Source organism: Homo sapiens, chromosome 7 (genome assembly GCF_000001405.40).
Source record: "Homo sapiens chromosome 7, GRCh38.p14 Primary Assembly".
NCBI classification, from domain to species: Eukaryota; Metazoa; Chordata; class Mammalia; order Primates; family Hominidae; genus Homo; species Homo sapiens.
This window is the reverse complement of record NC_000007.14, coordinates 140585051-140606425: the sequence shown is the minus strand read 5'-3', so window position 1 is coordinate 140606425 and position 21375 is coordinate 140585051. Positions and strand designations below refer to the sequence as shown.

At 45.0% G+C, this 21375-nt stretch overlaps 1 protein-coding gene across 5 annotated transcripts in view, besides 3 other annotated features; it reads left to right on the top strand.

The window, feature by feature from the left end:
- The window catches only part of DENND2A (DENN domain containing 2A), a 123042-nt gene that overhangs the window by 35035 nt on the left and 66632 nt on the right, over positions 1-21375 (top strand). For 3 of the 5 annotated variants that reach the window (NM_015689.5, NM_001362678.2, NM_001318053.2), the window contains exons 2-5: positions 620-721; positions 3884-5023; positions 18646-18773; positions 20716-20837. In NM_015689.5, the coding sequence (NP_056504.3) occupies positions 4029-5023; positions 18646-18773; positions 20716-20837 (1245 nt within the window). In that variant the 5' untranslated portion in view covers positions 620-721; positions 3884-4028. Of the gene's footprint in view, positions 1-619; positions 722-3883; positions 5024-18645; positions 18774-20715; positions 20838-21375 lie in introns of those variants that run through there. The other 2 variants (NM_001318052.2, NR_134477.1) reach the window with 1 other exon arrangement.
- Positions 11803-12097: an enhancer, noted in NCBI's record as "tiled region #5784; HepG2 Activating non-DNase unmatched - State 23:Low, and K562 Activating DNase matched - State 20:ReprD". NCBI's record gives its function as "activates a minimal TATA promoter and a strong SV40 promoter by Sharpr-MPRA in HepG2 and K562 cells {active_cell/tissue: HepG2 | K562}" and the evidence as "EXISTENCE:reporter gene assay evidence [ECO:0000049][PMID:27701403]".
- Positions 11803-12535: a biological region, named in NCBI's record as "Sharpr-MPRA regulatory region 5784".
- Positions 12035-12535: an enhancer, noted in NCBI's record as "H3K27ac hESC enhancer chr7:140293691-140294191 (GRCh37/hg19 assembly coordinates)". NCBI's record gives its function as "activates a minimal SCP1, AML or CMV promoter by ChIP-STARR-seq in naive H9 embryonic stem cells {active_cell/tissue: H9 hESC(naive)}" and the evidence as "EXISTENCE:reporter gene assay evidence [ECO:0000049][PMID:30033119]".

Sequence of the window (21375 nt, the reverse complement as noted above, 5' to 3'; positions counted from 1 at the left end):
CTCGTTGTTATTTATGTTTTGCTTTCTAAGTTTGTATGTTTTCTTAAAATTTTTGGTGACCTTAGCTAAAAGATATATGCAAAGAGGGCCAGGCACAGTGGCTCACTCCGGTAATCCCAGCACTTAGGAAGGCCAAGGCAGGCAGATCACTTGAGGCCAGGAGTTCAAGACCAGCCTGGCCAACAAGGTGAAAAACCGTCTCTACTAAAAATACAAACATTAGCCGGGGTGGTGGTGCACACCTGTAATCCCAGCTACTGGGGAGGCTGAGGCACGAGAATCACTTGAGCCCAGGAGGCGCAGGTTGCGGTGAGCCAAGAGCATGCCACTGCATTCCAGCCTGGGCAACAGAACCAGACCCTGTCTCAAAAAAAACAAATGAACAAAAAAGATATATACAAAGAGGTTGGCATGAGTTCTGAATCCGGGCGGACATCGGGATTGCACCCCCACTTTACTTGCTAGGCCTGGGATTCTGAATTGTGTGTTCTTTCCACCCCCTGCTCCTGGGTGGAATCTATCAGGAATAAATAGTTTGGAGTGTGGGCCCTAGATTTGCTCCCCTCTGAGGGAGGCCCTGCTGTCATGGCTCACTGGGTGTGCATCCCTGTCCCCCCAGGTGACCTGGAACTCCCCTCGGTACTGACATGATGACAGTGTGCAGGCCGGCCAAGGGCAGCCACAGCCAGACTGAAAACCTGAGCTACAAATTGGCTGACAAGTAAGAACACTTCTCCCCCGAGAGTGTAGACGCTGACCCAGCTTCTTACTCTCCTACCACCTCCTTCTTCACTGATCCTACTTCCTTGAGCTAAGGAGCTCTTTTCCAGGTCATTCTAATGAGCCTCCTGCAGACCGCCTCCATGCACTGCATTCATTTAAGGCTTCAGGCCAAACTGATCGAGAGAGTCTGACTAATGGCCAGTGTGAGGAGAGGATGATCCCTTGGTAACTTTAGCCCTATCCCCATGACGCATTCCAATTCTGGGTTTATTTTTCTAACTACTAGGATGTTCAGGTATTTTACTTATGTTTGAGCCCTAAGTCTTTGCAGCTGTACCTGTACACAGTCAGTTTTCCCATCTAATACCAGCGTGATTGTTTCCTTCTCCCCAGATGGAGCCCTTTCTCTGATCCTCTCACATTCCACAAAGCAGTTGGCAGCCACTGAGGGGTTCTTAGCTCTGCACCCCAGTCTGGAACCCCTTATGGGGCGGGAGAATCCTGGAAACAGGAACTCTAGAAACTCTTGGGCTGGCAACCACATGGAGCAGGAACTCTGTCCTTGGGGACTCGTAGGACAGTTGCGGCATCCTTGCCTCTGTTGCGTGAGTTTTGTAAATCCAGTGTGAGTTTTCAGCAAGCCATCCTTTGTTCCTCTCAAGTTTTCCGACAGAGCTTCCATAGTTGTGAAGTCACTCCATGTGTTTGGGCTCTTAGACAATAACTATGATACTTACAATAACACTAGTTACCATTTGTTGATACCAAGATTTAGAAAGTATGCTGTACTTTGAGCACATTACATGTTAACTCATGAATTCATTCATTCATTGAATAAATATTTGTTGACTAGCTGCTATGCACCAGGCACAGTAAACAATATAAATGTGGCCTCTGACTCATAGAGTTTCAGTCTACAGAAGGAAGATGAAAAACTCAGGATTCAAGTCTCAAGTCCCTCATTTCCAAAGCCCATGTATTTAGCTCCTAGGCCATAGTGCCTCACAGCATATAGGACATTAATAACCACGTTGTAGACCATCAGTCATCACCATGCAGACACTAACCTGGATTGTTGTGTTTTTAATGTGTGTGTCTGTCCTCTCTCTTCATCTTGCCTCTAGCACTGTGAGAGCAAGGACCATCACTTCTGCCTTTTGAACCCTCAGTGAGATAACAAACTGATTCTGACTAAAATCTTAATTCATGCTAATATCTCCAGTGGTGATGGAACAATTTAAAAATATTTTCTCTTTGTAAACACACTGTTAGGAATCCTAATTGTTTATTTAAATAAGGAATTCTGCCTTGATAGCCATATTTAAAATAGGAAAATGTGTTTGCCAAAAAAATGTGTTTGCGTTTTCGCAAGTTTCTATTTTATGCCATGCAACCAAGAACAGTGGCGTAATTTATGTGCTAATGTCTCCACTGAGGAAGAGGTCTTTACACAAACAACCTTGGGAATAGAAAGCTAAATAGTAACAGGATGCATGAAATTGCTACTTATTCATCCCTCACGGTGAACCTTAACTGGAGTTTCAGAATTTCCATGCGGTCAGATCTATACATTCAGAAAATGGGCACCGTGAGGTGTTAGCTAATGTCGGCACATCCAAAGTCACTGTACTCAGTCATAACCTTTGCTGGTGGAATAATGTTTGCATTGGACAACACAGATACTCTCATTCTTGTTAGACTAATTTAAAAATGTTTTTCCTTCAAAATAATTTCTAATATCTTCATGGCATTATCTAATCTAAAATTACATTTGGAAGCATGTATCATTACATATATGTTCTAGGCCAAAACTTTATTCAGTGATGGAAATATTCTTCTTCCCCATCCAGTACGGTAGCCATCAGCCACATGGCGCTTCTGAGTCCTTGACATGTGGCAGGTGTAACTGAGGAACTGAAGCTTGAATTTCATTGGATTTAAGGTTAAATAGTCACGTGTGGCTGGTGGCTACTCTATTAGATAGTGCATTTCTAAGCCAAGTGTGAAATCTGAATCTGCCTCTTTATTCACGCATTCATTCATGCACCAGATATTTATTGACCACCAACTCTCCCAGGTATTGTTTTGGGTGCTAGGGGTGCAGACTTGGCTACAACAGGCCAAAATAACAGAATAATCCCTGCCCTGGTGGCAAGGCTCATGAAGAGCTCACTCTAGTGAGGCCCCATTCCAGAGGAGGTTCTGTTCAGATGCATCCAATCATTGTGGCTTTGCCCACTTGAATCAGACAATTTGTCAAGTTCAGGGGTAGCACAAACTTCATGACTTGTGATGTTGTTTTAGTTTTTAAATAGTCATTGCAAAGAACTGCCTGTGGATAAGAAAAGCAGGAAAAGCAGCCTATGTAATCTTTTACCTCGTGAAATTACTCCTATTTTATTTTTATTTTTATTTTTGAGACAGAGTCTCTCTCTGTTGCCCAGGCTGGAGTGCAGTGGTGCAATCTAAGTTTACTGCAATCTCTGCCTCCCGGGTTCCAGCAATTCTCCTGCCTCAATCTCTTGAGTGAGTAGCTGGGATTACAGGGCCTGCCACCACACCCCGCTAATCTTTGTATTTTTAGTACAGACGGGGTTTCACCATGTTAGCCAGGCTGGTCTCAAACTCCTGACCTCGTGATCCACCCGCCTCGGCCTCCCAAAGTGCTGGGATTACAGGTGTGAGCCACAATGCCTGGCCCATATTATTATGATCTTCATTTTACAGAGGTGGAAACTGAGGTTTAGAGGACTTAAACAACTTGCCTAAGGTCACGTGACTGAATTAGGATTTAAACCCAAGCCTATCTGACTCCTAAACCCGATTGCTCCTTCATTTCACCATGCTGTCTCCCCAAGGAAAACACAAATTGAGTTTTTAAAAAAAATTTTTGTAGAGATGGGGGTCTTGTTATGTTGCCCAGGCTGGTTTTGAACTCCTGGCCTCAAGTGATCCTCCCACCTCAGCCTCCCAAAGTGCTGGGATTACAGGCATGAGCCACTGCACCCTGCCCACAAAGTGAATTTTTTTTTTTAATAGGAATTTCAATGTTTGTGGTTTGTGACTTGCATATAACATTTATATCTAAGTTCTAGCAAATCTCTATGACCAGCCAAGAACAATAAGAATCACTCACCTGGTGTTTGTCTTTCTTGTGCAGGGTCAAGGTGGAAGGTCCAAGGACTGAGAAAGACCCTCGAAGGCATCCACTTTAGTCCTCCATTCCATTCCTAGAGACTGATCAGGAGTCAGGCTTCAGAAGGAGTCCCCTGGAAGGCCTCCACAACCTCACGCTAGAGTCAAGAATGGATATGTTCAGCTTGGATATGATCATCAGTGACCCAGCTGCAGAAGCCAGCAGGGCTGGGAAGAAGCAGCTCAGAGGTGTTCAGAACCCTTGCCCATCTGCCAGAGCCAGACCCCGGCACAAGTCCCTCAACATAAAGGACAAGATATCAGAATGGGAAGGGAAGAAAGAGGTGCCCACTCCTGCACCCAGCAGGAGAGCAGACGGACAGGAGGATTATCTGCCGTCCTCTACGGTGGAGAGGAGGAGTAGTGATGGGGTGAGAACTCAGGTCACAGAGGCTAAGAATGGAATGAGGCCAGGAACAGAGAGCACAGAGAAGGAGAGGAATAAAGGAGCAGTGAACGTCGGGGGACAGGACCCAGAGCCGGGGCAAGACCTAAGCCAGCCAGAACGGGAAGTGGATCCTAGCTGGGGCCGAGGCCGAGAGCCAAGACTTGGCAAGCTACGCTTTCAGAACGATCCCCTCTCCGTGCTGAAGCAGGTCAAGAAACTCGAGCAGGCTTTGAAGGATGGGTCGGCAGGGCTGGATCCCCAGTTACCAGGGACTTGTTACTCCCCACACTGCCCTCCTGACAAGGCAGAGGCAGGGTCCACCCTTCCTGAGAACCTGGGAGGCGGGAGTGGCTCAGAAGTCAGCCAGAGGGTCCACCCCTCGGACCTGGAAGGCAGGGAGCCCACCCCTGAGCTTGTGGAGGACAGGAAAGGTTCATGCAGAAGGCCCTGGGACCGGAGCCTTGAGAACGTGTATAGGGGCTCGGAGGGTTCCCCCACAAAGCCCTTCATCAACCCTCTGCCAAAACCCCGGAGAACGTTCAAACATGCCGGAGAAGGGGACAAAGATGGGAAGCCTGGCATCGGCTTCAGGAAAGAGAAAAGAAATCTGCCTCCTCTGCCCTCTCTACCTCCCCCGCCTCTGCCCTCCTCTCCCCCACCTTCCTCTGTGAACAGAAGACTGTGGACCGGGAGACAGAAATCCAGTGCAGACCACAGGTAGGTGCCGGTGTGGCCAGGCAGAGTGTCGCCACCTGACTCTCTCAGTGGTTTGTGTCCCATCATAACCGTCTGTTCTCAGCTGAATTATTTGTTTTATTAAACTGATGGATCTTGTAGTCCAGATGGTTCATAGCTTAAGATACTTTGTTAATTAACCTGGAAACTTGGTAACTGATGCATGTATTTTGTGTTTGTTCTCAGTCCTCAAAAAAGAAGAGTATGTGCTTTTAAAAATTACCCTTTAGATGTAATAAGGACTTGGAATTGGGACAGTAACCAAGAGTTAAATGAAGGACTTATGTTAACCCTGGCAGTCTACAACTTGGTAGTCCCTGCTAACTACCAGTGCTTGAATTTTTCTTGGTGTGGGCTTTAGAAATACACTGGCCCTATCAGTGTCTATCTATGTGACCTTAAACAAGTTATCTAACCTCTCGAAGCCTCAGTTTCCTCATTTATACATATGGATGCACGCACTGTGAATATTTTATAACGTTAAAATAACACATTAAATAATAAAGCATGTTAATGCTTAAAAATAAAATCTGTGCTTCGAAAACAATTTTTCTATTTTGCAACTTAATCTCTAGTCCATTTCTGTAACATGCTAGTTGGTTTGATACCCACTAATCTAGAAACCAGCTTTAGAGCAAAACTCCTCAGAACAGTTGTTGTACTCCCTTTCATCATTTCACCTCCTATTTTCTCTTGACCCACCCCATTGAGCTTTGGGAACCTCCTCCTGAAACTACCCTGTCCCGAGGCCACCAGTAACCTCCATCTTGCTAAATCCAATTGCCAGTTCTTTGTTTTTTTCTTAATTGGCCCCTCTCAGTATTCGAGGAACACCTGTTGACTTGCTCCATCTTGAAACACTTCCTTCATTTGGCTTCTGGGTCACCCATGTCCCTGGAAGTCCTGCTTCTCTGGCTCCTTTGAGTTCCATTCTTTTTTCCTTCTATCTGTCAGAGCACACCCCGAACCTATCCCCACCTCAACCCAGGGCCAGACCTGAGACTTTTCTTCTCCATCTACACTCACTCCCTAAATGATCTCATCCAGTCCCATGGCTTTAAATGTCAATGTCATGCTTATGATTCCCAAATTGAGGCATTCAGCCCCAACTCCCTCCCCCAGCTTAAGGTTTGTGTAGTCATCTCCTGCTTGGATCTCCATTTGGTTGTCTTATCATTTATACTTAACGTGTCCAAACCCAAGTTCTCCATCCAGGCCACCAGTAACCACCTCCTAAAATAATTGTCATCCTTCTAAATGGCATCACCGTTTGTTTAGTTGCTTAGGCCACAAACCTAAAAAGTCATCTCCAATTCCTCTCTTTTTCATATACCCCTTCCTAATTCATCACCAGGTCCTTTGGTTCTAGTTTCAAAACTTTATCCCAAATCTGCCTACATCTCCTCCACTGCTACCATCTTAATCATCTTGGATTCACTTCCCATCCGTAGAACATTCCTCCCTCAGCAGCCAGAGGAGTCTTCTAAAAATATAAACTATAAATTAAATCCTGTCACCCCCCACTCAGCATGGTCTGTCATGTAGGATGATTCTTTTGGCTGTAAATAGCATAATTTCTTTTTTTTCCCCACTTTCTCTGTAAATAGCATAATAGCATAATTTCTTGTGTTCTCTTCAAGGGGGAAAAAGTTTGCATATTCTAGAATTTATTTACATATATTTGTATATATATATGTAAATATATATAAGTTATTCCCAGTTTACAAATAATGCTGTGATAAGGAGCATATAGCATTACTAGTTTTGCTACTTACTAGCTGTGGGACATTGGACAAGCAACTAAATTGTGTTGGCCTCATTTTACCTATCTGTAAAATGGTGATAATTATATTATAGTAACCACTTCACAGAGTTGTTGTGAAGATTGAATGAGTTAACATGTATAACATAAACTTAGTACAGAGCCTGTTCAATATGTGTGAAGTGTTTTATTTTTCTCTGGCTCCATTCTGTTTAATTAATCAGGCTATTTTTTTTTCAGTACCAAACTATTATTTTAACTTCATAATGTATTATTATTATTATTTTTTTTTCGAGACAGAGTATCGCCCAGGCTGGAGTGTGGTGGCACAATATCAGCTCACTGCATCCTCCACCTCCTGGGTTCCAGCAATTCTCCTGCCTCAGCATCCCAAATAGCTGAGATTACAGGCGCACGCCACCACGCCTGGCTAATTTTTTGTATTTTTAGTAGAGACAGGGTTTCACCATGTTGGCCAGGCTGGTCTCGAACCCCTGACCTCAAGTGATCTGCCTGCCTTGGCCTCCCAAACTGCTGGGATTACAGGCATGAGCCCCACACCCAGACCATAATGTATTTTAATATCTAGTAGAGCTTATAGAAAGTTCTTAATGTTGCTAATAATTAGTCAGTTGATCCTCTTGGACTTCCTATATATAACATCATGTCATATGCAAAAAAAAATAATAATCACTTTGTCTCTCTCCTTTTTAGTAATTATAAACCTCTTGTTTGTTTATTTACTTATTATTCACCTTTTCCAAAAATGTCTTGAGTGTTTCTGCCTGTATTTTTCTGAATGTTCTAAATATTACTATCAAATTTCACATACATAAAATATGTGGGGGTTTTTGTAATTAATATATAATTATTTGACATGCTATGTATTTGCTACATTTATTTCTAAGTCTTTTCTCTTTTTAATGCAATGGTTAATGTCTTTTTTCTCATATGGTCTTTGTATTTAAGAAAACTCTTATTTTGTGTGTGTTTGTGTGTATATATATGTGTATTTTTTAAGACATCTTAAATTTCTTATTATTTCTAATAGTCTGTTAGTTGATTCATAGAAACTATGAATATAACCATATTGTCTACAAAGAATCATCATTTTACCTTTTCTTTTTAATTTATACCTAATTCTCTTACCAAATTGCACTGGCTGAGACTTCCGAACAGTGTTAAATCGTAGTGCTGAAAGCAGCGTACAGTCTTACTTCGCCCCTAACTTTAATGGTAACGCATCTAGAGTTTCACTCACAGGCACTCTTATTTGAGATATGTTTTTATGTTATCAAGTTAGTGTCCATTTATATTTATTTTTTCACTTAGAGTTTTAAAAATTAGGACTAGAGATTAGATTTTTGTTAAAGTACTTTTCAGAAACTCCTGATGATCATATGATTCTTCTGCTCTGATCCATTCATATTGAATTTATATTTTAATATTAACCCATCCTTAAATGTGGGGGATGAATTCCCATTCGGGCCTGGTTTATTATTCTTTTAATGTACTACTGAATTTTATTTGCTAATATTTTAAGATTTTTGTATCAGTAAATAAATTAGACTGGTCTAGACTTGGGTTTTATTGCACTATCTTTTTTTTGCAGAATACATACAGGATGATTGCACTATCTTTACTAGGTTTGAGTTTCAGTGTTACTTGAGGTCTGGAGAAGAACTTAGATGCTTCCTTCTTTATGTTCTGAGAAAATCTGAATCCATCTCCAATAATAAATCCTTTCTCCAGCCAGTGCCAAAGCCCGGGTCCCCGAGCACTCCCATGACTTCCCTGCCCCTGCCCAGTGCTTCCCACAGCAGCCCTTCCACGCCCCTTCTGGCTCTTCCTCCAAGGAGGTCCCACACCCCCAGGGACAGGTTGATTCTGGGAAACTGGAATCCTTCATCTGTGTCATCACTGGGCAGGCGAGTCAACCTGGGGAACAGTTATTCCCATTATCTTTTCTCTCTTAACTATCATCTGCGCTTTTCAGTCTTCCAGTGTTTTCTTTATAAACAGCTAAAGTTACTTATTTCAGTCCAAAGATGAAATTTTTCTTGGCCAGTTTGAATATGGTTTCATCAGCTGTGTTTTAACAATTTTGACTTTGGGTTTTTCATTTTGTTTAAAATAGTACAATGGAGGTGATTAGGGCAAGATATTCACTTTCTACTCTTAAAAAAATAAAGTATGCTCTTTATTGTGGTCCTATCTCTTAAAAACAAAAAGGACTGTACCACGAATTTGGCAGACGCACCACCCTCTTTGAGGGAGGAAAGCCAAACCAAGGTTGAAGAAAGAAATGATTAAGGATTTAGAGGTTATGAGGGTTTCAAATTTCATGGCCAGGCTGTGTGTGCCTTAGAGAATGTATTCAGCTTATTTTCATAGGCCAATTATTTCACCTCCTTAAGAGCAAAACCAGCGGATTCAGATCCTCGGTTTAAGAAAGCGTATTTTTCTTTTTCTCTTCCTGTTTCTCTCTCTTCTTTTTTCTTTTCTCCTCTTCTCTTTCCTTCCTTTTCCCTCCTTTTCTCTCTCCCTCTCTATTTGCTGTCTTCTCTTTTCTTTCTTCATTTCTTTAAAGCCCCAGGAAATTAAATGCAAGGACTTAGGCCTTCAATCCTAAAATGGAAAATGAGAAACCCTCAAATGTCAGGAAATTCCAAAGATAAGGTTCCTACAACAACATTAACTTGGTTATATGTGTTTTATGGCATACACTTAATAGCTCTGGCAAGAATGCCTTAAGGCCGACATTTAACAAGAAAAGTTACTACTCTTTAAGTGTGAGCACCATCCTGAATTCACATGTATCTACATACTCAAAATGTCTTAACTGGAATTCAGATTTTTAAATTTTAGTTTAACCTGGTCATGTGACAGCTTGTAGATCTTTATGAAACCAAATAACTGCAATGACCAAAATTTCAACTTTTCAGCTGATTATTTTGGCATCATATAGATTTGGCCTTTCCTTGGAGCTTTAGTGTAAGACTTTCAGAACTTCTTGAGGACGTGAAACCTCAGTCATTATATGGCTGCCAGATCACACTGTGCTGTTATTGATTCCATAATTTCCATCTTCTATGGGACTGATACGGATCCCCACAGCTCTCTGGCTGGGCAGCAACCCTCGGCTCTCACAGGTTTAACAGTTAAAATTAACTTACCAGCCAAGCTGTGGTCCATCTCAGTCAGCAAGGCATCCCTGAGACAACTCGGAATTACCACGTCTAAAAACTGAATGTTTCAAGTCTTCAAAGGAGCGCATTGTTTGATTAAGTTGATGTTTAGAGCAAAAGCTACTCTGGAAGCTTCTGAGAAACTTGATTTAGTAAAGCCATTTATTTCAATAGAAGCTGCATTGGAAAACAGAGAGACGGTGCTTGCTCTTCCAAGGTTGCTGTTGTCCATTACAAGAGTGATTTTCATGTCATTTCTCATTGAAAGGTGGAAATCGTTGGATATTAGCCACAATGAGGGACAGAAATAGTTTTTCCTTCTGACATTTAGGGTTTAGATCCAGGATAGAGAAAAGCAGAAACCCTGTGAGTGATCCTAGTACACGGTGGAGGAGTTACCCGATAACAGAATGCAAGCTGAGAGCTAACGGAAGTCTCCTCCTGCCTAGCCGCCTGCCCTGAGCACCTGGTGGTAGGAAAGCCCTTCCTGAGTATGGCGAGCCATGGGGAAGAGCTGCCGTGGCCACTCAGGAGAGACAGGCAGAAAGACTCTGGCAGCTGGAGGAGGAGGATGGAAGTCAGCGCGTGGCATCCTTGATTTCTAACCCAGCTGGATGATGTTTTAAATGGTCGCTAGGTGCCAGGCTAGCCAAGCTTTTTTTTTTTTTAAACAGGGTCTTGCTCTGTCTCCCAGGCCGGAGTGCAGTGGTGCAATCTCAACTCACTGCAACCTCCGCCTCCTGGGCCAAGTGATTCTCCTGCCTCCGCCTCCGGAGTAGTTGCGACCACAGGCACATGCCACCACACCCAGCTAATTTTTGTATTTTTTGTAGAGGCAGGGTTTTGCTATGTTGCCCAGGCTGGTCTTGAACTCCTGGACTCAAGCCATCTGCCTGCCTCAGCCTACCAAAGTGCTAGGATTATAGGCGTGAGCCACCACACCTGGCCTGTAGCCAAGCTTTTTTAATCCATAGAGGAAAATAATCCTGGGGGAAATGGATTCAAAACAATTTACTAAAAATTAACTCAATAATACAGCTGCTTTTTTTTTTTAAATCTTGAAGTAGGGATAAATTATAAACAGTAAATGTAGCACTTAAAACCAGCTTTTAAAATATTCATTCACGGGGCCAGGCATGGTGGCTCATGCCTGTAATCCCAGGACTTTGGGAGGCCGAGGTGGGCAGATCACTTGAGGTCAGGAGTTTGAGACCAGCCTGGCTAACATGGGGAAACTCTGTCTCTACTAAAAACACAAAAATTAGCCAGGCATGGTGGCACACACCTGCAATTCCAGCTCCTCGGGAGGCTGAGGCAGGAGAATCACATGAATCCAGGAAGTGGAGGTTGCAATGAGCCGAAATCCTGCCACTGCATTCTAGCCTGGGCACAGAGCAAGACTCCATCTCAAAAAACAAAATGGTCCAGCAAGGTGGCTCACGCCTGTAATCCCAGCACTTTGGGAGGCTGAGGCAGGCGGATGACAAGGTCAAGAGATCGAGACCTTCCTGGCCAACATGGTGCAACCCCATCTCTACTAAAAATACAAAATTTAGCTGGGCATGGTGGCACGCACTTGTAGTCCCAGCTACTTGAGAGGCTGAGGCAGGAGAATCGCTTGAACCGGAAGGCAGAGGTTGCAGTGAGCTGAGATGCGCCATTGCACTCCAGCCTGGCGACAGAGCGAAAATAAATAAATAATAAAATAAAATACTCATTCACTTATTCAACCAACAAATATTTACCACGCACCTATCGAGTGTTAGACATAGGAATGTAATAATGAGCGAGATAGACGGAGACTCTGTCCTCACGGGATTTGCAGACCAGTAATAGTTGGAAGGACACAGCTGGTGTCGTGATCATAACTCCTGTCAGTGCTGTGAGGAATCCTGGTGCCATGGGAACATTCAGCAGGGATGTGTAGCCTATCAGGGAAACAGATGGGATCAAGAGGAAGTGACGCTCGGGCCAGCGGGAGGGTGGGGAGTGGACGTTCAGTTTGAGTGAACTAATAGGTGAAAGCCCTGAGACAGGAAAGACTGCATCATGTCAGAGGAACTGCAAGGCAGGAGTGTGGCCTGAGGGCCAGGAAGGGTCTGGGGTGAGGCCTGAAGGTCTTCTGGACCTATACACAAGGTGTGGATTTGGGCCTATTACCTAAGGGCAATGGAAAAAAGGAACATTTTTAAGAAGGGGAGAGAGATAATCAGATTTGCATGTTTAAGGCCGGGCACGGTGGCTCACGCTTGTAATCCCAACATTTTGGGAGTCTGAAGGGGGTGGATCACCTGTGGCCAGGAGTTCGAGACCAGCCTGGCCTACATGGTGAAACCTCGTTTCGGGTAAATATACAAAAAATTAGTCAGGCATGGATGGTGGGTGCCTGTAATCCCAGCTACTTGGGAGGCTGAGGCAGGAGAATCGCCTGAATCCAGGAGGCAGAGGTTGCAGTAAGCCTAGATCACAGCATTTAACCCCAGCCTGGGCAACAAGAGTGAAACTCCATCTCAGAAAAAAGAAAAAAAAAAAAAAGATTTGCTTGTTTAAGAGACCATCCTGTCAGCAGCCTGGAGACTGGGTGGGCACCAATGGGCAGGTGCGGTGAGGCGATGGGGAGAAACAGTGAGGTCTTGTGGTTACCCTGTGGTGTAGCTGCCTCGGGGACTGAGAGAAGTGGGTGGGTTCAAGAGATGCTTTGGAGGTAAAACTTGGGTTAACTAGTTAGACGTAGGCAGTAAGTGGGAGGGAGGCTAGGAGTCTGATTTCCAGGTTTCAGACCTAAACCTTTGGATGGCAACACTGGGCAAGGAGTTGGTTCTCATCAGAGAGGCAATAGGATTACGAGTTCAGCTTTGAGATTCTTCCGCATTGTCCAAATGGGAGGAGCTCTAAGTTAGCATTTCATTTACAAAAATATGGAGAAGTCATGAAGAACATTCAAAATACGACTCAGAATCACAGTGTTTGGCATTGGTTGTTGAAATTTGGCTATTACATAGGTTATAACGCCCTTCAGCAAAGTTCTTTGGAACAACCAGCTCATTCTAGCATCTCTGAAACTCAGAAGCACCAAATATCAAACGATCATTTGAGGACCTGGGAAGTAAAGTGAGGCTGAGTGGAGGTTACACCTCTTCCCCAGGCTGTGGGCTCCCCAAAGGCAGGGACCTCTCGCCTTTGTATCACCCACTTTGAGCACAATGTGACTCGCATGTTTACTTATTAAACTTGCAGGCGGGATGTGGAATGAATGTTGAAAATGTTTAAATTAGAGAGAAGCCTGTTTGGATGTGGTTATCGTTCATTAACCTTTCACAGTTTCCTTTCTCTCAAAGTTAATGTGTAAATGAAGGTACTAAAACTTTCAAGTTAAAAAAAATATTTGTAGAGAACAGAATTAGGTTAGCAGTTGAAGGATTGGTGTGATCACATTTCTCCTCTTCAGGGAGCCTAATCACCTACCTAAACCTCAGAAGGGGAGGACTGATGTCCCTGACATTTATGTAGGCTGTAGAAATAATGCTAGGTGGTCCGGGCATGGTGGCTCACACCTGTAATCCCAGCACTTTGGGGGGCTGAGGTGGGTGGGTCGCTTGAGCCCAGGAGTTCAAGACCAGCCTGGCCAACATGGTGAAACCCCCCTATCTCTACAAAAAATACAAAAATTAGCCAGGCATGGTGGCAGGTGCCTGTAATCCCAGCTACACAGGAGGCTGAGGCAGGAGAATTGCTTGAACCCTGGAGGCGGAGGTTGCAGTGAGCTGAGATCGCCCCACTGCCTTCCGGCCTGGGCGACAGAGCCAGACTCTGTCTCAAAAAAAGAAAAAAAAAAAGGGCAGGGCACGGATCACCTGAGGTCAGGAGTTCAAGACCAGCTTGCCCAACATGGCAAAACCCTGTCTCTACTAAAAACGAAAAATTAGCTGGGCGTGGTGGCTCTCACCTGTAATCCCAGCACTTTGGGAGGCTGAGGTGGGCAGATCACAACGTCAGGAGATCAAAACCATCCTGGCTAACACGGTGAAACCCAGTCTCTACTAAAAATAAAATTTTAAAAAATAGCTGGGCATGGTGGCAGGCGCCTGTAGTCCCAGCTACTCGAGAGCCTGAGGCAGGAGAATGGTGTGAACCGAGGAGGTGGAGCTTTCAGTGAGCCAAGATCGCACCACTGCACTCCAGTCTGGGCGACAGAGCGAGACTCCGTCTCAAAAAAAAAAAATAAAAATTAGCCAGATGTGGTGGCAGGCGCCTGTAATCTCAGCTACTCGGGAGGCTGAGGCAGGAGAATTGCTTGAACCCAGAGGGCAGAGGCTGCAGCGAGCCGAGATTGCACCTGGGTGACAAGAGCCTGGGCGTCAAGAGCGAAACTCCATCAAAAAAAAAAAAAAGAAGAAGAAAAGAAGGGGAGGGGAGGGGAGAGGAGGGAGAGGGGAAGGGGAGGGGAGAGGAGGGAGAGGGGAGGGGGAGGGGAGGGGAGTAGGGAGGGGGGAGGGGAGGGGAGGGAAGGGAAGGGAGGAGAAAGAGAGAGGAAGAAAAAGAAAGAAAGAAAGAAGGAAGGAAGGAAAGGGAAGGGAAGGAAGGAAAGAAGGAAGGGGAGGGAGGGAGGGAAAGAAAGAGAAGGAAAAAGAAAGAAAGAAAAGAAAAGAAAGAAAGGAAGGAAAGAAAAGGAGGGAGGGAAAGAGAAAGAAAAGAGAGAGAGAAAGGAAAGGAAAGAGAGAGAAAGAAGGAAGGAAGGAAGGAAAGAAAGAAAGAAAGAAAGAGAAAGAAAGAAAGAAAGGAAGGAAGGGAGGGAAAATAAAGAACTGCTAGGAAGAGCTAACTTTCTAAATGCTTTGGCATGTGTTACCAACACATGACAATGATAGATCAAATGTTATAATTGGAATCCTACTTTCCTACTAGTTCTAGAAACTGGGCATGTAAAGATTTCTGGCTTCTCCTTGATCTTGTATGGACTGTACCTCATGTTAATTTGTTTGCCTTTCAGACTTCCTGCATAGGAATTAGTCACCTGAAAACTAACCCTTTAATACAGGAAATAGAGCTGCTATTTGAGAAACCTTTTGATGAATCGTTTTGCAAATTAGTTTTGCAACGTGAATAACCATCTTTTATTTTGAAACAGGGTCTCACTCTGTCTCAAAATGAGTGAGAGTGCAGTGGCTGGAATGCAGTGGCTTGATCTTGGCTCACTGCATCCTCCGACTCCCTGGCTCAAGGGATCCTCCCACCTCAGCCTCCCAAGTAACTGGGGCTATAGGTGTGCCCCACCACACCCAGTTAATTTTTGTATCTTTTATAGAGACAGGGTCTTGCTCTGTTGCCCAGCTGGTCTGAAACTCCTGAGCTCAAGCAGTCCACCTGCTTCGGCCTCCCAAAGTGCTAGGATTATAGGTGTGAGCTACTGCGCCCACCCCCATCTTCATTTTTTTAAAGGGAGTTTTTAATTGTTTTCAAATTGGACTTTTCTAATGCTGTTTAGACTAGTGACCTTTTATGTGTCAGAAATCAAATGTAAAGCATGGCTGACCTTTTTTTTATTATTATTATTATTCCCCAGAAACAAGATCTCACTCTCTCACCCAGGCTGGAGTGCAAGTGGCATGATCTCAGCTCACTGCAACCTGTGCCTCCTAGGCTCAAGGGATCCTCCCACTTCAGCCTTCCAAGTAGTTGGAACTTCAGGCACATGCCACCATGCCCAGCTAATTTTTGTAATTGTTAGTTTTTGTAGAGATGGGATCTTACTTTGTTGCCCAGGCTGGCCTTGAACTCCTGGCCTCAAGCAATCCTCCTGCCTCAGCCTCCCAAAGTGCTGGGATTACAGGCATGAGCCACTGTGTCTGGCCTGAGCTCTTATATTAGCATCTTGTTCTTGGAAATATAGAAGGATTATACAAAACATTCAAACTATGTCTTGAAATCCCAGGTGTCTGACAGTAACCACTGGGATAAAAGCTAATCCTATCCCAACAAACCCCAACACATAATCTGGATTCCCGCTTGCATTACATGTGCTCTATTTTTATGTATGTATGTATTTTTTGAGACAGAGTCTCTGTCGCCCAGGCTAGAGTGCAGTGGCGCAATCTCAGCTCACTGCAACTTCCACCTCCCCGGTTCAAGCGATTCTCCTGCCTCAGCCTCCCGAGTAGCTGAGATTACAGGTGCACACCACCATGCCCAGCTAATTTTTGTATTTTCAGTAGAGACAAGGTTTCACCATGTTGGCCAGGCTGGTCACGAACCCCCAACCTCAAGTGATCCGCCCGCCTCGGCCTCCCAAAGTGCTGGAATTACAGACATGAGCCACCGCGCCCGGCCTGCATTACATGTGCTTTAAATAAGCGAGTCATCCGCTGAGATTTGGAGAGCCTTTAACCATACAAATATCTTCTGTTGTTAGGGCAGTTATTATGAAAACATTTTAAAGATTCAGATGTTATTTCATAGGTACTTTATCATTTCGAAATTTGACCTATACAAATATTGTTTCCAATGAGATTTTAAAAAATAAAAACAGAACTATAATCCCAGACAACAGGGAGGCTGAGACAGGAGGATCGCTTGAGCCCAGAAGTTTGAGACCAGCCTGGGCAGCAAAGCAAGACCTCCATTTCTACAAAAAATTAAAACTTAGCCAGCCATGGTGGCATGCAACTGCAGTCTCAGCTACTCCGGAGGCTGAAGGACAAGGATTGCCTGAGCCCAGGAATTTGAGGTGCGGTGAGCTGTGGTGGCACCACTGCACTCCAGCCTGGGCAACAGAGGGAGAACCTGTTTCTAAAAATAAATAGAGCTCTCGCCATGGCAAAGCAAGGCACAGCTACAGCCCCTTTCTCTCTCTCAAAGAAAAGGCCAAACTCAGCCAGGGTCGTGCTGTAATTCTAGGCAGTCAAGGCTTTACCTGTAGGTGGTGGTTACTACCCTGGCCCTGAGAGTGGGAGAAACTGCCTGGCTTCCAGTGAAATGACCCCTTCCTGTCCCCCTTTTCCCTGTAAGGGTTCATAGCATCTCCTCATAGCATAGATTACTTACTACTTGAGGGAAACAGAGGGTCTGCCTGGGTATCGCACAGTACTGTGTAATGCAGCAATGTAATTATCACTGTGTAATGCAGTTTTGTATGGAAAATTAGTTCAGGTTCCCAACAGCAAACTGTTGAAATTCAGCCTGTTTTAGTTTGGAGCCTGTGAATGCAGCTTCCCTCCTGACATGCCTCACTTAAATAAATGCTCTCCATAATGCCCTGTGTCATTAAAAGCATCAGTCTCCAACCAGACTTCCTGCGGTCAGACCCTAATTCCACCACCTTTTCCCAATATACCTGGAGCAATTTATCTAACCCCTCTATGCCTCTGTCTTCTGATAAATAAAATGTGTATAAGAGGCCGGGCACAGTGGCTCACGCCTGTAATGTTAGCACTTTGGGAGGCTGAGGCAGGCAGATCACCTGGGGTCAGGAGTTCGAGACCAGCCTGGCCAACATGGTGAAACCTTGTCTCTACTAAAAATACAAAAATTAGCCAGACATGGTGATACATGCATGTAATCCCAGCTCCTCGGGAGGCTGAGGCAGGAGAATCGCTTGAACCCAGGAGGCAGAGGTTGCAGTGATCCAAGATCATGCCACTGCACTCCAGGTCTCAAAAAAAAAAAAAAAAAGTGCCAAAAAAAGTGGATAAGAATAGTAATTTTGGGTTGGGCACGGTGGCTCCCACCTGTAATCCCAGCACTTTGGGAGGCCCAGGCAGGAGGATCACTTGAGGTCAGGAGTTTGAAACCAACCTGGGCAGCATGACAAAACCCCGTTCTACAAAAAGGTACAAAAATTAGCAGGGCGTGTTGCTGTGTATCTATAGTATACACAGTCAGGGACTGTCTATACTGTAATAAGACAGTCAGGGACTATCTGTACTATAATAAGGACTGTTCCATATCCTTAGTCACAAGCCTTTTAGACTTGGATGAACTACATAAATGGGCTGAAACTTCGTGTCCTGATTTGTAAAATAGTATAGACAGTCCCTGTCTATACTAGTGAGCCACTGCTCCCGGCCCCCTTTTCTATTTTCTACGTCTATGTTTGTTTACAAAGTTGGGATTTTATTTTTTTACATATACTTTATTATTTTCACTTAGCATAATAGCATGAACATTCTTGCACATAAAAGCCACATCTCTTATTCATGGATTTTCACACCTTTTACAATAACAGAAGTTGATTTCAGGCCGGGCACAGTGTATAATCCCAGCACTTTTGGAGGCCAAGACAGGCAGATCACCTGAGGTCAGGAGTTCGAGACCAGCCTGGCCAACACAGTGAAACTTTGTCTCTACTAAAAATACAAAAACTAGCCAGGCATGGTGGTGCATGCCTATAGTCCCAGCTTCTCTGGAGGCTGAGGCAGAAGAATTGCTTGAACCCAGGAAGCGCAGGTTGCAGTGAGCCAAGATGGCGCCGCTGCCCTCCAGCCTGGGCAACGGAGCAAGACTTTGTCTCAAAAAATGAAATAAAATAAAAGTTGATTTCGGTAACAATTTTTCTAAGAAAAAGAAAATTTGGCCGAGGGGATATATTAATATATTCTCTGAAACAGCCTAATTTGATTCAAATTCTTTGTTTTTTCCTCCCATCTGGCACATTCCAGAAAGTCCTATGAGTTTGAAGATTTACTGCAGTCTTCCTCTGAGAGCAGCAGGGTGGACTGGTACGCGCAGACTAAGCTGGGGCTGACACGCACTTTATCGGAGGAGAACGTCTATGAAGACATTCTAGGTAAGAAGCCACAGCGTCTGTGTGCGGATCTGAGTCTGTCTGGGAGAAAGGGGAGGGAGAATGGGGCTGGCTGCTGGAAACACACGTGCACACACATGTACACACACACACACTTGAAGACACCTGTGCACTCGGATGAAAAAGCAGGCAGGTGGGGTGGGAGAGTGAGCCTTGTGGGATATATGACAGACCCTAGGGCTGGAGGGGGAAGACTAGCTGGTAATGAGTGGCCAAGGAGGCAGTGTGGCAGCGTGGCATAGCGAGAAGCGTGGGGCCTGGAGTCTGAAGATCCAGAACCACATCTTGGTTCTGCTGCCTGTTGGCCGCAGGACATTGAGCCAGTGACTTCACGTCTCTGAACTGAGTTCTCCCATCTGCATAATGAGGATGAAGCTAGCTCCCTTGCAAGGTTAAGGACTGGAGAGAATGTTGTGTCAACTACCTCACATATGACAGATGCTCAGTCAACTGCAGGGATTACTGAATGAAAGAAAACACTACACAACAGAGCCTCCTTCAGAAACTGTCAGAGTGTGGCACTAACAGGGCATCAGAACACAGACTAAATGTGATTTAAAAAGTAACTTTGGCTCTAAAGCGTCCTCTGAGATTTCAGAGTGGGTCTCAGATTCAGAGTTTGGTGAGTTCAGTCATCTTCAGGGAGGTTGATGGTTTTAGTGAAGGGCGAGCTCCAACTGCTTACGGTGCGGGTGAAAGGTGGGGGAAGAAACAAGCTGATAAAAGGGAGAAACCCATATGTGTGTGCTGGTGAGGGGCAGGTAGGGTGGATATATGCAGACATGCTGGCATGTAATCATCAATACTAGAAAAAACTTACAGAAGGAGGAAATAGAAAATTTGAGGAAGGCAGATGCTTAGCTAAGCAATTGGAATTGCATCTGTGTCCAGGCTGCTGGAGATGGGCTCCTGCCAAAGCAGCGGGATTCCCAGATCTAAAATGGGAGCGAGATCTGGACTTCTCTTAGCAGTGACTGCCCAAGAGGATGCTTTCAGTTACAAGGAACAGAAAACCCAACTAAACTAGCTTTTCCTTCCTCCATTTCTTTTCTTTCTTTCTTTTTTATTTTTTATTTTTTGAGACAGGAGTCTCACTCTGTTACCCAGGAGTTCAACGGCACAGTCTCAACTCACTGCAGCCTCCGCCTCCCAGGTTCATGCAATTCTCCTGCCTCAGCCTCCCAAGTAGCTGGGATTATAGGCGCCCACCACCACACTCAGTTAATTTGTGTGTGTGTGTGTGTGTGTGTGTGTGTGTGTGTGTGTGTTTTCTTTTTTAGGAGGGACGGGGTTTTCCCACATTGCCCAGGCTAGTCTCAAACTCCTGGGCTCAAGTGATCCACCCCCTTCGGCCTCCCAAAGTCCTGGGATTACAGGTGTGAGCCACCGCACCCAGCCCCCTTCCTCCATTTCTTACCTCTCAGGTTAGCTTTATTCTCAGCAGGCTTCCCAGCGTCCCCACAATGGCTGCCACCAGCTTCCTGGAATCCATATCTTCTTGGTGGAGAGAAGAGCTGGTATCCTGCAAGTCCCAGCAGAAATCCTGAGGTTCACCCTCATTAGACCAGCCAAGGTCATTTGTTCACCTTTAGAGCCGGGGAATGCCATGCAGTGATATCACTTAGGCTTAGAATATGAGCCCTTCCCTGAACTGATCACTGAGGCAGGGATTTGGGATACCTAGATTGGCTAAAGCGCTGAAACTGAGAATGGAGTTAATCTCCCATGGCCACAAATGAGGAGATGGAGAGGTAACCCAGTGAAATCAGAGACTGCTGCCAACAGGAGGGGCGCATGGATGGCAAAACAGCAGATATGCCTACAAGAATGGACACAGGAGAGGCCAAGATACTGACCTCAGTGTTTTGAAAAGGGAAATGTCCTCAGTGTTCCCAGGTTCCTGACACATTGCCTTTGAACACAGATCCGCCAATGAAGGAGAACCCTTATGAGGACATCGAGTTACATGGTCGCTGCCTGGGAAAGAAGTGTGTCTTGAATTTTCCTGCTTCTCCCACCTCTTCCATCCCTGACACACTCACCAAGGTATGAGTCCCCTGGGAATGGTGGCAGGAGAGGGGGCCAAAGCATGGTGGCCTTGAGCACTCTGGAGTTCCGGCCAGCACTGGAATTCCAGGCCACCTCCACCTGCCCTGCCGGGCTCCTGGATTTGTACAACGCTGGCTGACTGGTCTTCCTCCCTCTAGTTCTCTTGGAGCCCCTCTGCTCAAAAAAGCTTCCTAAAATACGATTGAGATTCTGGCTCAGAAACCTCCTCAAACTGGGTAAATAAAAGATGGTACATCCGTCCCATACAACTGTTAAGAATGTCTTAACATAGAGCATACTCTAAGATACAAGACGGAAAGGCATGATGTAGAACAGTAGTTTTAAAGTATTTTGCCATTTGTGGGTTGTTGTTGTTGATTTAATTGAGTCAGGGTGTTGTCGCTCTGTCACCCAGGCAGGAGTGCAGTGGTGCAATCACGGCGCACTGCAGCCTTGAACTCCTGGACTCAGTCAATCCTCCCACCTCAGCCTTCTAAGTACCTGGGATTACAGGCACACGCCACCAGCCCAGCTA